Genomic DNA, 15,970 nt, shown 5'->3' with positions numbered 1-15,970 from the left:
CATCAGAATAGCTTAAGTAGTGTTGGTATTATCTCTTTTTCAAAAGATCAAAATAATATTAGAATACTTACATAGCAGTCACTGATCTACATGCTTCACTCTTATTAAGACATTCAATCTTTTTGATGTTTCTTGTATGTCAAAAGCTATAATTAACATCCTAATTTCGCAACTGAGGAGACCTGGAAATAAAGAAATCAAACCATATGTGTCTAGAGCCATGCAGGAAAAAAGATAAGATAAAAAAAAAAAAAAACTAAGAACCTCAGGCATTCATATTCTAGAACTTAAGCATTATTAAGTTCTATTCTCTAGCATAGAACCGTTATTCTATGCGGTCTCACCTGAATCCATCTGCTAATCCCCTTCCAATTTTTTTCTATGGAAATTGATCTATATAATTTTTCTGCTTTGTTCATTTATTCATTCATTAATTCAAAAATTGGTTCATTCAACCGTATTTACTGAATGCCTATGACATGCCACTGTCTGTTCTAGGCACAAGGATAGATACAGCAGTAAACTAAACAGAGAGGGCCCTGCTCTCATAGAAGTGGTGCTATGGCTTGAGCATGTCTCCTCCAAAATTCAGGTGTTGAAACTTAATGGGCAACATGATATTATTAAGTACTATTGTAGGGCCTTTAAGAAGTGATTAGAGCATGAGGGCTCTTTTCTAATAAATGGGACTAAGCCTTTTATAAAAATAGCTTTACTCAGTGTTTGGCCCTCTTGCCCATATGCCTTCTGCCATCTTAGGACACAGCACTCCTTTCCAGAGGATGCAGCAACAAGGTGCCATCTTGGAACCAGAGAACAGCCCTCACCAGACAACTAACCTGCCCACATCTTGATCTTGGAGTTCTCAGCCTTCAGAAGTGTGAGGAAATAAATTTATGTTCTTTAAAAATTACTCAGTCTGTGATATTTTGTTATAGTCATAAAAATGGACTAAGAGAGAAATCAGTACCAAAGAAGTGGGTGTTGCTATAACAGATACCAAAATATAGGGAAGTAGATTTGGAATTGGGTAATGGCTACAGACTGGAAAACTTTTGAAGTAAATGTTGAAAAAAGCCTGTATTGCCATGAATGGAGTGTTAAGGGTGATTCTGATGAGGGCTCAGAAGAAGAGCAGAGCTACAGGGAAAGGTTCATTCTTCCCAAAGATTACTTAAAGTGGTTGTGAACAGAATGCTGGTAGAAACATGGTTAGCGAAGACTATTCTAATGAAGTCTCAGATGGAAATAAGAAACAAGGTATTGGAAACTGTAGAAAAGGCTGTCCTCATTATAAAGTGAAAAATAATTTGTCTGAACAGTGTCTATGTCCTAGGACTTTGTAGGAGGCAGAACTTAAAAGCAATGAACTAGGAAATTTGGTGGAAGAAATCTCTATAAGCAAAGTATTCAGGGTGCTACATGGATTCTCCTGTTTATAGTAAAATGTGAGAAGAGAGAAAAAAAACTGAAGAAGGAATTTATAGTTAAAACAAAAGTAAAATATAAAGATTTGAAAAAATGCTCAGCCTGGCCATGTACAGAATTTTAAAAGCTTGTTTAGGAGAGAAAACCAACGGTATACCCAAGAGACCATTTGATAAGATTATTATGAATAGAAGGAAGCCAGGTATTATTCATTAAGATAATGGGAGCACGACACTGAAGGCATTTTAGAAGCTGCAGTACCCATCAAACACCCAGAGTGCTAGGCCTTGAGAACAGAAAAGCTGGAAGAGAGGAGCCCAGGGTGGCTGTGGGGCCTCAGGGCTTTCCACCCAACGTTACTGTAAGTCCTTTCTTTCCATATTCTGGTACAGTGCTCACTGGCCACTTCAGCGGTGGCTAAAGTGGGCCAGGTAGAACTCGGGCCACTGCTCTGCAAGGCATGATCTGTAAGCCACAATGCTATAAACAGGAGAATCCATCCACACGATGCTAATTCAACAGGCTCACAGAGTCCTTGACCTGTGGTGGCATGATTTCACCTCCACCAAGATTTCAAAGGACGCCCCTCAGAGAGGATCGGGGCCCAGGGAGAGGACTGTTGCTCATGTGTTGAATAAGGCCCCAACCTGGGAAAAGCCCAGCAGAGCCGAGGGGTTGGGGCCACTGCAGAGAGCCCCCAGTAGAGCAATTCTTAATGGAGCCATGGGAGCAGAGCCACCTCAGAGAGCCTAGATCTGTCACCAATGCGGAATGCCAGTCTGGGAGAGCTGTAGGCACCCAATTTCAATCTGTGAGGGCAGCTGCTTGGGGTACACTCAGTAAAGCCATGGGGTTGTAGTCCCCTGGAGCCTTGGGGACCTAACCCTTGCCCCATTGTTCCTGGAATGTGAGACATGGAGTCAAAGATTATTCTCAAGGCTTAAGATAGAGTGTTGTTTGCCCTGTTGGATTTTAGACTTACTTAACACCAGTTACCTCATTCTTCTTTCCTGTTTCTCCCTTTTGGAACAGAAACATCTAACTTGTGCCCATCCCACCACCTATTTTGGAAGCACATAACTTTTTTAATTCCACAGATTCACAGCTAAAGGGACACTTGCCTACAGATGATATACACCTTTGCATCTAACCCATATCTGATTGAGAAATATTTAAATGAGACTTTGGACTTTAGACTTTTAAGTTGATACTAGAAATAGTTAATACTTTAGGGGCTATGGGAATGGACTGAATATATTTTTCATCTAAGAGGGACATAAATTTGGATGTATTGCTTCAAAAATTCAGGTGTTAAAACTTAATGACCAACGAGATGGTATTAAGAGGTGGGGCTCTTAAGAGGTGATTAGGTCATGAGGGATCCTTCTTCATTAGTGGAATTAAAACCCTTATGAAAGAGCCTTCACTAGGTGTTTGGCCCTCTTGCCCTTATGCCTTCCACCTTGTAAGGACACAGCACTCCTCCTCTCCAGAGGATGCAGCAACAAGGTGCCATCTTGGAGGCAGACAGCAGCCCTCTCCAGACAATCAAACCTGACAGTTCCTTGATCTTGGACTTCCAAAGCTCCGGAACTATGGGAAAACAAATTTCTGTTCTTTACAATTGTCTCTGGTATTTTGTTGTAGTAGCACAAATTAACTAAGACAGGTGGAGAGATATAACAAATAAATGCATAATATATGAGGCAAAATATCAAGTAGGGTAAGGGGGCTTGCATGAGTAGTAGTTCATTAATTCACTAGGGGATGGTCAGGGAAGTGGATAAGCTGACACTTAAGCAAAGTCCTAAGGGCATCGCAAGGATGAGCCTTCTGAAGATCTGGGTAGGGAGAACCACAGGACCAGATTTGCCTGGGATAGTTCCTGTACCCTGCTGCTAGTCTTAATGTAATTATTACAGCACTCTCTTTGGCTCTCCAATTCCAACTGTGTAGTTGGGGAAAGGCTGCTCCTACTAGAAGAAAATGGGACTAGGAATGATGGTGCCCTGCATTTAATGAATAGCAAATAAACCACTTTGGCTGAAAGAGAGTGTCTTAGAAGAAAATGTGTATCTCCTTGGGTCAATTTGTATAATTTACAATAGGATAAATTGTTTTATTCTCAGAATTCAGTAATTATACTAACATATGATCAGGAGTTTCTTTTAAAACATTAATAATGGAATTTCATTTTCCTTTCAATCTTTTGGAGAAGAAAGTCTTTTTGAGACCAAGAGCTTATTTCTCTCATATATTTAGTGATTGCCTGTCATTTCTTGATATGTTTTTCTTCTTTAAGAATTAAGATTATTTACATATTTGCATTCATTATTTCCATCGCATTCCTTTTGGTCTCTGATTTTTTTCAGAGACCTGATTCTTTAACTTGATATTTCAGTTTCTGATTCAGTTCTCAATGTTAATGTCATTTCTTTCCACTTGCCTATGGAATTATTTCATTCAAAAATAATTTTTAATGAAGTTTTTTAATCCTCTAAATTATCTTTTAAAATATTCTTGATATTATTTTTGTGAAAATTGCCTTTGTCATAAGCTTTGTTTTTTTTTTTTTCTCTGAGCAACCAGTGCTGGTTGTTTTATTTCAGATTTCTGTCTCTGGCCACTGGACAACTTGGATGCATTGATATTGTGCTCTGTCCTTCACCTCCTCTTTTCTCTTTTCATATTTGGCAGTCAGGTTAGGCTGCAAGCATCCCTCCAGCAGCATCTTGCCTGTGTAGAAGAAGTAAGAAACAAGTCTCCACCACGTGGGCATTCGAAGCTCTTCTTTTCCTAGATGTCTCAGGTGATCATTGTTAGCATTGTTTAGCCCTACTCACAGGGATCAATGTATCCTACCTATGCAGGCTCTCTAGTCATTTCAGTAGAACACTAAAATGTTCCCTATCATTTACCAACTGTCTGTCTCATCAATTTCATGTATCCTTATCACCGACCTCTTTTCCTAGTACTGTCACTCATGATGGATGGAATTACTTTTACCATCTTTTGGGGACTGCTTCTAAAAGGCTCCCAATGATCCCTCCCTCCTACTATCTATGTCCTTGCTTTATATTCCTTCCCACTTCCTTAAGAGTGGGTTGGATCTAGTAACTTGCTTTTAATGGATATAATATGGCAAAAGTGACAGAAGTCACGTCTGAGATTAGGTAACAAAAGATTGACATCCATCTTGCTCACACTCTCTCTGGCTCTCCATGCTTGCTTACAAGCTGAGAAGTTGAGAACTGCCTACGGAGGGTGGCAGGGAACTGAGGGTGGCCTCAGGCCAATAGCCAACAAAAACTGGATCCTGCTGATGACCAGTGAGCATGGAAGTGGATCCTCCCTGCACTGTCCCTCCAGATGAGGCTGACAGCAGCCTTGATGGCAGCCTGAGAGATCCTGAGCCAGAGGGCCCAGGTGAGCCATGCTGAGCTCCTGACCCACAGAAACTGTGAGATTAATATTGTTGTTTTTAAGCCAGTAAGTTTTGCACTAATTCATTTGCAGAAATAAATAACTAATATACCATCAGTACTATCATATTTTACCTCCATCCTCTTCTGTCCTGGGTTATCCATGTTCCTGGTGGGTGGAATTTTCCATTGTGACTCACTCATTCACATCCCTATGCCTTTGTTTATACTGTTCCTTTTTATTACTGTCATCCTTTTTTCCTAAATGGTAAACTATAAACGTAAATCGAGACCCAGTCATTGGTTTTCTCCTCTGTGAATCATTCTCTAGCCACATAGACAAATTTTGTTTCTCATGTCTTGCATATACTATTATTCTGCATTTCACACAGATTTAAAATCATTGTCTTTGGCCAGCTCTGTTCTCAGTACCTAGCAGAATGGCTAACACATTATAGGTAAAAGATTAACTTTTCTTGAACTATCTTGAAGCCCCTCTTTTGATAAGTCATTTCTATGCGCCATATGCCCCAGCTGGAAAACTTCACCAGGTACTGAATTAAAGTGGGCTGACTGGAAATAACCACTTTTGCCTTTCTCAAGCAATACTGAAAAGAACTTTTATTTTTATTTATGCCAACTAATATTATGTTTTGAAACCTTGCCTGCTGAATGCTTGAAACCTTGCTCTGCTTTCTACTCATAACATTTATCCTACTTATCCTCAGAGTAACTCAATAGCCTTAAAATACTTATAAAGCTTTTTCTTCTTAATCACTTCAAAACCATTTCTTTAGAAGCTGACTTCCCTGCTGCACAACATTATTAAAGAGAAACCATTTATTTATTCAAATTACCTTGTTTGCTTCGACGTAGGCAGCAAGTTAGTGTAGAATGCAAAATGCAAGGAATGAATAATTGCTTCTGATTTGTATGTTTTGCCATAAAATTTTGCCATGCAAAATTCATTTTGCCAATGAATAAATTCTTTAGACTTGTTTTATAGACCCTTGGTAGAATAACAAATATAAACATACTTTTGGTTATGAATGCAGATGCTCTAAATTTTCCCTAAATTAATGTTTTTGAAAGCATTATATTGTATATTTAGAAAAAGCATCAAAAAGATGAAACTGCTACTATTATAACATTGCTAAACAAAAATACTTTTTGAATTTAAATATACTTACTGCTCAGTTTGTAATCATGTCACTGTGTATGTACAGTTACCTGTTGCTGCAATAATTACAACCAACTACACAACCTTCAAGACGTACAGTGTTTTTTGTTTTGTTTTGTTTTCTCAAAAGTCTCCTAGAAATTCAACTAATATGAAGTGGGCTTGGTTTGGCTCATCTGTGTATCATTGGTCAGCTATAGGCTGGCTTTGCTAATTTCAACTGGCCTCTCTCACACATCTGGGGCTTTAACTGAGACAACTGGGCTGAATCAGCTCTGCTCCATATGGTTCCACAAGTCTCATCCTCTAACAGGCCAGCTTGAGCATCTTCTCATGATAAAGGCAGAGGAGCAAGAAAGAATCACAAAGCCTCAACCTGGAGTACCATTACATTTTGTTGGGAAAAAAAAGTCACATGTGCAGCCCATATTAAAGGGATCGGGAAGATTTCACGTCTTTATGCAAGAAGCTACAATTTCACATTGGAAAGGACATAGATACGGGAAAGAATGAAGACTCACGACTTCTTTTTTTTTTTTTTTACAATCTATTACAGTATACCTAGTCTTGAATGAATTTAAAACATTATGAAATTATAAAGTCAATTTGTGAAAAGTTTAATTGATTAAGTTGCAATCAATGCTTCCAGAGAAATTCAAATTGGAAGATTTTGTTTTATTACTTTATAGTTATGGAGCAAACCTTTAGAGGCATCTTAATTATTTATGGACATTTAACAAAATTATGATCCTACCAAGAAGAGTAAAAAGACCTGTGGCATTTTTCCTTGGCCTTCATGAAAAAGTAAAATATAATGACTTAAGTATACTACCTTGAGCTTTCAGATGAGTGTCCTTTATGTAAAAGCAATGCTGATTAAACATAAGCTAGCTGCTAGTATATTTAGCCTCAAACATAACGTAAACCTAAAATAGTTAAATAGTTATGGTTCCCGTGGAAAGAAATACCTCAAATAAAAAAAAAAATTGAGTACCAAAGAGTTCCAAACAGATTATGCAATGCCTAATCACTTTATTTGCATTTTTGCAAAACCATTTTCTACATTCATATATTTTAGTAATAATTTCTTTCTTTCTGTCCTTATGTATTTATTATTTTACTTTAAGTTCTGGGATACATGTGCAGAACATGTAGGTTTGTTACATAGGTATACATGTGTCATGGTGGTCGCTGCACCTATCAACCCATTATCTAGGTGTTAAGCTCTGCATGCATTATGTTATTTGTCCTAATGCTCTCCCTCCCCTTGCCTCCCACCCCGCAACAGGCCCCAGTGTGTGATGTTTCCTTCCTTCTGTCCATGTGTTCTCATTGTTCAACTCCTACTTATGAGTGAGAACATGAGGTGTTTGGTTTTCTGTTCCTGTGTTAGTTTGCTGATAATGATGGTTTCCAGCTTTACCCATGTTCCTGCAAAGAAATACATATGTCAGGCATTATCATATAGTATATTGAACTAACTCTTAAAAATCTTTGAGGTAGGGAGATTAGCTACAGTTCAAAACTGTCACAACTGAGGCACAAAGAAATTGGGCACCCTGCCAAGGTCATAGAAATAGTAGGTGGAGGAACCTGGCTCTGAACCCAGGTGATCTGGCTCCGGAGCTTCAAAGCCCATTCTCTTAACCACTATGTCAGTTTGTCTAGTGATAGATTAGCACAGTCTCAGCTTTTCTCTAATATTCCTGTATCGCAGGGCTGGAAACAAGTAACTTCTTTAGTTCTGGGTTAGGTGCAACAGCAAAAAGCAGTTATGAGATTTGGAAGGTGAAAGACAGGCAGAAAGCTCTACTTTGCTCCTCCAGCAGTGACAGTCAGCTCTATGAGCTTCAGCAGATAGAAAGTGTTTCACTAGCCTCCAGGTGCTTTGCAAATCATGACTGTCAGTGCTGCAGTGAAGACACTGGTTCCACACCTTCCTGATTTTTTTCTAAAACTTGATAGAGATTTCTAAAACCTACAGCCAGCAGCAGCTTTCCCTGATCTTTGATCCTCCAATATTTCTAATGCTTTTGTGAGCATATATTCTCTGACTTAAATGTCTTTCTGCTGTCGAAACTCTCCTTTAAGAGACTGTTGACTGATATTGTATAAGGTACATAAATGGCTTGCAGTGAAAAATGTGATATTTGTAATCTCTAACATGCAGTGGCAAAAAAGTTACTTAAATTATCACAGGTTTTTTAATAGAATGAAATGTCCATTAAAGGCAAGGTTTAGAATGAACAACTCAGCAGCTACTAAATGGGGACTTTAGTAGAAAAGTGATGATGAAGGGGACTCAGGTGGGTTGGCTTCTGACCTCATCGGAAAAATCCCCAAATAATAATAAGAATGACAAGCTCGGGGTTCTAAATTCTCAGCTCAACGTCTATACTTACATATGTTGTTTTCCCCCAAAGGTTCAGAATTTAATATACTGTTTTACGCAACTGGAATAAATCTGTTTTCTTGGTTCATTAAATTCAACATTAATCTACATTAAATAAAATTATATTCTTGAACACTTTTGTTATAATATTGAGGAGGGAATCTACCTCTTCATTGTATCACTAGGAGGGCCCAGAGAACTTTCTATTTTACCAAAGCACTGGGAAATGCATTGGTCAGTGAAATGCCAGCATCCTTGGGTATGGTTATATTCTGAAATCAGTAGATACATAATAGCTGGAGATGGTGTCATTGAAAGAGGTTCCTTGATTACAATAGCTATTATGGAATCCTGGACAGACAGACACTTAACTGCCAGACAAAGATGGGTGTGCTTATTCTAATGGGAGGTAGGTTGAATAAGGTAGTAAGAACGTCTGACACACAGAGATTATTACAAAATGCCATTGACTCAAGAATTGAAGTAGGTGTACTTTCCACTAAAGTTATACTTTAGGAATAAAGATTGGACATCTGTCTCAAGTCACTACAATGGAAAACTATAGTCTCTCACCCAATTTTTAGACCTGAACCAGTTCATAGACATAAAATCTCTTTAATAAATGGGAAGCTGGATCTACTTGAGAAAGCATCATATATCACTGCCTCAAATATTTCCATAGATGTTTTAATAAAGGAAACTGCAGCTAATTATTAAAGTGATAATTATCTGGGGGGAAAAATAACCAGGTCTTCCAGGATTTGTGGTCATTGTTAATGTGCAGGTTCCCAAGTTAATTCTGGGCCACAAGTTATAGCGGAGACTTACGGAGGTCAGATAATAATAGAACATTAGCCTGAGTCTGTCTCACAGTAGACCCAGTAGGTCTGCAAACATGCTATGCTCTTTTCTTCCTTTAGTGACTAAATATTAATATAAGTTGGAATATCCATACTCAGCAATTAGAAGAAACCCCACTTTGGTTCACAGCACCATAGAGTTAATACTATAAGAATACGAAGGGCCAAGTTAAAGACCCTGTAATTTTCTCCTCCCCAAAGATAGTAAACCAAAAGCAATTACTATATCACTGGGGCATTACAGAGATTAGTGCCATCATCAAAGACTTCAAAGACACAGAGTTGTTGATTCCTCTTACATCCCTGTTAAATTGCCTATTTAAGAAGACAGATAAGTCTTGGAAAATGACAGGGACTTACTGCAAATTTAAATCCCATAGTATAGAAGACCCTAGAATCTGGTGTGCAGCTCTTAGTCTGACAAATATGTTTTCTCTATGCAAATTATCAAACTAGTCAAAAAACCAGTTTTTTGTTTTCAGTGTGCAGAGATAGTAGTATACATTTTCTCTCAGCGCTATGTGAAACTATATCTTTTCTTTAACTCTGTCATAATCTATCTTGCAGACCTTGCCCATCTTGTCATTACACTGCCCTACTAAATCAATGAAATCATATTAATCAGACCTGGTAAGCAGAAATTAGCTAATTCATGAGATGCCTTGATAAGACACATGAGTACTAGAGGATAGGAGATAATTCTCACACACCCCAAAATAGTAAATTGCCACCTGAATAAAGTTTCTAGGAGAACAATGGTCTACGGCCAGAATAGCTATTCCCTCCAAAGGGAAAGAGAGTTCCATTAATTTGTACATCCTCAACAACAAAGAAGTACTGCACTTGATAGGCTTATTTGGCTTATGTGAACAATATTTTGTAACGGATTTACTGGTGTATTTGCTAGAGCTATGAAGTTTGAGTAAGGCCCAGAGCAGGAGATAGTTTTGCAGCAGGTACATGCTGTGGTGTGAGCTGCTGTGCCTCTTGGGCCTTAAAATCATGAAGATCCAATTGTACTTGAAAGGTTTGTGACAGACATGATACTGAAAAAGTCCTGGTGACCCTAGAATGAGGAAAAACAGCCAATCCCATGGGTTTTACAAAAAAATCCATGTTAGATGAAACCCTAAGTAGAAAACTCAGTCAAATAATTCACATTAAATTATAAACAATCCAGAAGTTGTCTTATTTTCCATAAGCCCATTCAAAGACTGATAAGGAAGAACAATCATACAATCCTCTAAATATTCACTGCTGCTTCAGAAAACCAGTCAGGTCACTGGCTTAGTTGCCAGGGACCAGCTTATATGCATTAAAACATATATCACATCAGTGTTCCAGCCACAATGAATTTTGGGAACCAGACTCCTCTGGGGTAAGTAGATATTTTCTTCAAAAGTCTTTTTTTTTTTACTTTTTATTTTGAAATAATTTCAGAACTAGAGAAAAGTTACAGCAGTTATACAAAGAACTGCCACATACTTTTCAGAATCCCCAAATATTCACACTTTGCCATATTTACTAAATTTTCTTTCTGTATATACATAGTATTTTCTAAACTCTCTAGGAGTAAGTTATTGAAATAATGTCCCTGTGCCCATAAATACTTTAGTGTGTACTCCCCATAAAATAAACACATTCTCCTACACAACACGATAATCAAAATCAGGAAATTATCACTGATAAAACGCTGTCTCTACCCAAAGACCTTACTCAAATATTATTACCTCCTGGCAATGTCTTTTAGAGCTGAAGAAATGTTTTTCTAGTACAATTTTTAACTAGCCAAGCCTCTCCATCCTCTCTTCCTGTCTTTCATAACTTTGAGGTTTCTGGAAGTATCAGAATGCCACTCCATTTGGATTTGTGCAGGTTTTCTCAGAATTAGATTCACATTATGCATTTTTGGCAGAAATGTGGTAGAAGTGACACGGTACTCTTCATAGTGCATCACGCATGGAGGGATGCAATATACATTTGTACTACTATTGATGACATTGACCTTGATTTGCCAGGTCTCTCCATTATGGAGTATCTACTTTTCCCTTGGCACTTAATAAGTATATTGTGGGAGATACTCTGTAAATATCCTATTTTCACTGTTGTGCATTGGTTTGTGACTCCTCCAAAGATTTGTCCACCTGGAATCTATGTATGTGACCTTACTTGGAAAAAGGGTCTTTGCAAACATAATTAGGGATCTGAAAATGATATCACCCGAAATTTAGGGTGAGCCCTAAATCCAGTGAAAGATATCCTTGTAAGAGAAAGGCAGAGGAAAATTCAGACATAGCAACAAAGAAGGTTATGTGAAGACAAAGGCAAAGGTTGGAGTTATGCTGCCTTAAGCGAAGGTGTTCCTGGAGCCACCACAAGCTGGAAGAAGCAAGGAAGAATTTTCTCGGAGATCTTTCAAGGCAACTTGGTCCTTCCTACCCCTTGATTTCAGATTTCTGGCCTCTGGAACTGTGAGAAAATAAATTTCTATTGTTTTAAGCCACCACATTTATGATGATACGTTATAGCAGCCCTAGGAAACTCACATGGTCAGCAAACCTGCACCCACCAGTTTTAGCCTTAATTGATGTTTCCCACCTGAGTCAATGATGATGATGATGATGATTGCCAAGTGGTAATTTTTAAATTCTATTATTTCTTTTGTATTTGTTAGTTGGCAATCCAATATAAGGAAGAGCTTTCTTCTATTTGTTTATTTCAGTATGAACCAATATATTCTTTTATTATTCAATAGGCTTCAATATATCACTTTATTGTGGTTTTACTCATGTCATTTATATACAAATCCTTTGTTGCCATTTCAACAATGTCCACAGCATCTTCACCTGTAGTAGATTCCCTCTAAAAAACAGACAAAAAACCACTCTCTTTGCTTATCCATAAGAAGCAACTCCTCATCTGTTTAAGTTTGATTATGACATTGCAGCAATTGAGACACATCTTCAGGTTCCACTTCTAATTCTAGTTCTCTTGTTATTTCCATCAGATCCACAGTTACTTCCTCCACTGAAGTCTTCAACTTCTCAAAATCATCCCTGAAGATCTGAACCAACTTCTTCCAAACTGCTGTTAATGTTAACATTTTGACTACCTCCCATAAATCACAAATATTCATGGCATCTAAAATGGTGAATCCTTTCCAGAAGGTTTTTAGCTTACTTTGCCCATGTCCATCAGAAGAAGCACTATTTGTGCCATTTATAGCCTTAAAAAATGTATTTCTTAAATAAGACTGGAAAGTCAAAATTACTCATTGATCTATGGACTAAAGAATGTATGTTGTATTAGCAGGCATGAAAACTACATTAATCTATTTGTATATCTCTATCAGAGTTCTTGAGTGACCAGGTGCATTGTAAATGAGAAGTAATGTTTTGAAAGGAATCTTCTTTGCTGAGCAGTAGGTCTCCATAGTGGGCTGAAAGTATAGAGTACACCATGCTGTAAACAGAAGTGCTGTCATCAAAGCTTTGATGTTTCATTTATAGAGCATGGACAGAGTATATTTAGCATAATTCTTAAGGAACTTAGGGGTTTTGGAATAATCAATGAGCATTGGCTTCAACTTAAAGTCACCAGCTGCCTTATCAGGCTGTCCTTTGAGGTTCTGAAGCCAGGCATTTTCTTCTTCTCTCTAGCTATGAAAGTCCTCAATGGCATCTTCTTCCAATAGAAGGTGTTTTCATGCACATTGAAAATCTATTACTTAGTGTAGCCACTTTCATCAATCATCTTAGTGAGAACTTCTGGATAACCTGAGGCAGTTTCTGTGTCAGCACTTGTTGCTTCACCTTTGACTTTTATGGCACGGAGAGAATTTTTTTCCTTGAATCTCATGAACCAACCTCTGCTAGCTTCACACTTTTCTCCTGCAGCTTCCTCACCTCTTTTAGCTTTCATAGAATTGAATAGAGTTAGGGCCTTGCTCTGGATTAGACTCCAACTTAAGGGAATGTTGTGGCTTGTTAGATTTTCTATCCAGATGACTCAGACTTTCTCCATATCAGCCATAAAGCTATTTTGCTTTCTTATCATTCATGTATTCACTGGAGCAGCACTTTAAATTTCCTCTGATAACTTTTCCTTTGCATTCACAACTTGGCTAGCTGTTTGGCTCAAGAGGCCTAGGGTTTGGCCTGTCTTGGCATTGGACATGCCTTCCTCACTAAGCTTAATTATTTCTAGCTTTTGATTTAAAGTGAAAGATGTGCAACTTTTCCTTTAACCTAAACACTTAGAGGCCATTGTAGGGTTATTAATTGGCCTAATTTTGATATCGTTTTGTCTCATATAATAGGAAGCCTCAAGGAGAGGGAGAGGGGAGAATATCTGCTCTACTATGTGCTATGGTAGAGCAGTCAGAATACACACAACACTTATCTATTACCTTTGCCATTTTATGCAGTCACAGTTTGTGGTACCCCAAAACAATTACAATAATAGCATTACAGATCATGTTCACAGATGCAATATTTCAAACTTTTTTATTATCACAAGAATTACCGAAATGTGACAAAGACACGAAGTGAGCCTATGCGCTTGGGGAACATGGGAACATGGCACTGATAGCCTTGTTCAATACAAGGTTACCACAAACTTTCAATTTGCAAACACAATACTGTGAAGCACAATAAAGCAAAGTGCAATCAAATGAGGTATACCTGTATGTGGATATTAAGATTTTCTTCTACTTAGTCTAATGCTTTTTAAGATTCATTGATGTTTTGCATATATTAGTAGTTTAATAGTATCTGTTTTATACTGTGTGTATATGTATTATATGTACATATAAAATCTGTATATTATACAATATAGAAAATTTTCCTCTGTACCTAAGAACTAATTTTTGCTACCTTGGGGATGATATCACCCTTGTTGAGGATGATGGTGTAGAGATGTCTCATTGTTTTTTAGTTTTCTTTTTCATGAAGACAGAACTCTGAACAGTTTTTCATGAGTTTATTAGCTATTAATATCTCCATTTGTGAAGGTTCTTTGTATTCTCATTGAGTTATAAGAATTGTTTATATCTTCTGGATAAAGTACTTTGTAAAATATATATTTTCAAAACATTTTCTCCCATTCTGTGGTTTGTCTCTTTGTTTTCTCAACTGTGTCTTTCAGAGAGCAAAAAAATTGTTTCTTTAAGTTTTGATAAAGTTAATTGTGTCAGTTTATTTCTTTCATGGTTTGTGATTCTTGTGTTATATTTAAGAAATCTTTCCTGTAAAAGTTTGCAAAAATTTTCTCTTATGATTTTTATAGAAGGTTTATAGTTTTAGCTTATATGTTTACATTTATGTTCCATTTCAATTTAATTTTTGTGTATGGTGTAATGTAAGAGTTAAGGTTAATTTTTTATAGGAATATTTGGTAGTTCCAGTACTATTTATTGAAAAGATTAACCTTTTCTAATTGAATTATCTTGGATCCATTGTCTAAAATAAATTGGCCACATAAGTGTGGGTCTATTTCTGTACTGGTGATTGTGTTCTGTTTGTCTACATGGCCGTGCTTACACCAACAACACTGTCTCAATTACTGTAGTTTACAGCAAATCTGTAAACCAAGTAGTCTAATTAAACTTGTTCATTTAAAAAAAATTGTTGTTTCTTCTAGGTTGTTTGCTTTTCCATATACATTAATAGCTTATTATTTTCTTCAAAAAAAGCATGCTGAGATTTTGTTGGATTGAATCTATAGATTGAATGGAGATCAATAGTGTCTATAGATCAACTGAATCTATAGATCAATTTTGAGAATCAAAATCTTAATAATATTGAGTTTCTCATAAATGTAGACTCAAAATATGAACATGCTATTCAATACTGTTTATGATTTTTAAAACTAGGAGAAAAGGGAATTTGAGAAAGGAGACCTATACAAAACATACAGTTACTATAGTCATCAATGGTAAAATGATTGAATACTGTGCTCTTAGATAAGGAATAGGCAAAGATGTCTGTTCTTTCTGTTTTAACACTGTACTGGAGATATAGCTAGTGCATTAGAAAAAAATATAAAAGACATACAGATCAGAAAGAAGGAACTAAAACTGTCTTTATTGGCATAATGCATGATTGTGTACATAGAAAATCCTGAATCTATATGAAAGTCATCATAAATAATAATTTAGTAAGTTCTCAAGATATAAAGTCAATTTACAAATAATAATTGTATTTCTATATATTGGCAATGGATAACCTGGAAGAAATTTTTTTAAAGTACTTGATTTATCATAAATAAAAAAACAAAATACATGGTAATAAATTTAAGAAAAGATGTATAAAATGCATATGCTTAAAACTACAAAACATTGCTGGTGGATATTAAAAAAATAACTTTCTTATAGAATTTCCAGTACTATTTATAGTATTTTTGTTCCTAGGGTAAACTTTCTCTTTCTGGGGACAATTTTAGTTCACTCATAGGCTCTCTGTTCTCTCATTATCTCTTCCATGCTGTTTTCTTTCCCCCAGATTCACTTTGTTCTCCACATAGCCTGGAGATCTGGGAGCTTGAGAAACATCTCTGCTTGAAATTGGTATTGTTGTTGTCATTATTATTGTTTTCTATTTACAGATAACTTGGTTTGAAGTTGTTGACAAAATGAGTCAAATTCTGTAAAATATATGAAGAGACTTATTCTGAGCCAAACCTGAGGACC

At 36.8% G+C, this 15,970-nt stretch overlaps 1 protein-coding gene across 4 annotated transcripts in view; it reads right to left on the bottom strand.

The window, feature by feature from the left end:
- NPFFR2 (neuropeptide FF receptor 2) overlaps positions 1–15,970 on the bottom strand; it is a 116,306-nt gene that overhangs the window by 79,211 nt on the left and 21,125 nt on the right. Inside the window, exon 2 of one of the 4 annotated variants that reach the window (NM_001144756.2) lies at positions 72–182. The exons of the other annotated variants lie outside the window; for them this stretch is intronic. Within the exon in view, the coding sequence (NP_001138228.1) occupies positions 72–73 (2 nt within the window). The 5' untranslated portion in view covers positions 74–182. The remainder of the gene's footprint in view (positions 1–71; positions 183–15,970) is intronic. 4 annotated transcript variants of the gene reach the window in all.

The sequence above is a fragment of the Homo sapiens genome, chromosome 4, assembly GCF_000001405.40.
Source record: "Homo sapiens chromosome 4, GRCh38.p14 Primary Assembly".
Lineage (NCBI taxonomy): Eukaryota > Metazoa > Chordata > Mammalia > Primates > Hominidae > Homo > Homo sapiens.
The sequence above is the reverse complement of the archived record's forward strand: the minus strand, read 5'-3'. Positions and strand labels throughout refer to the sequence as shown.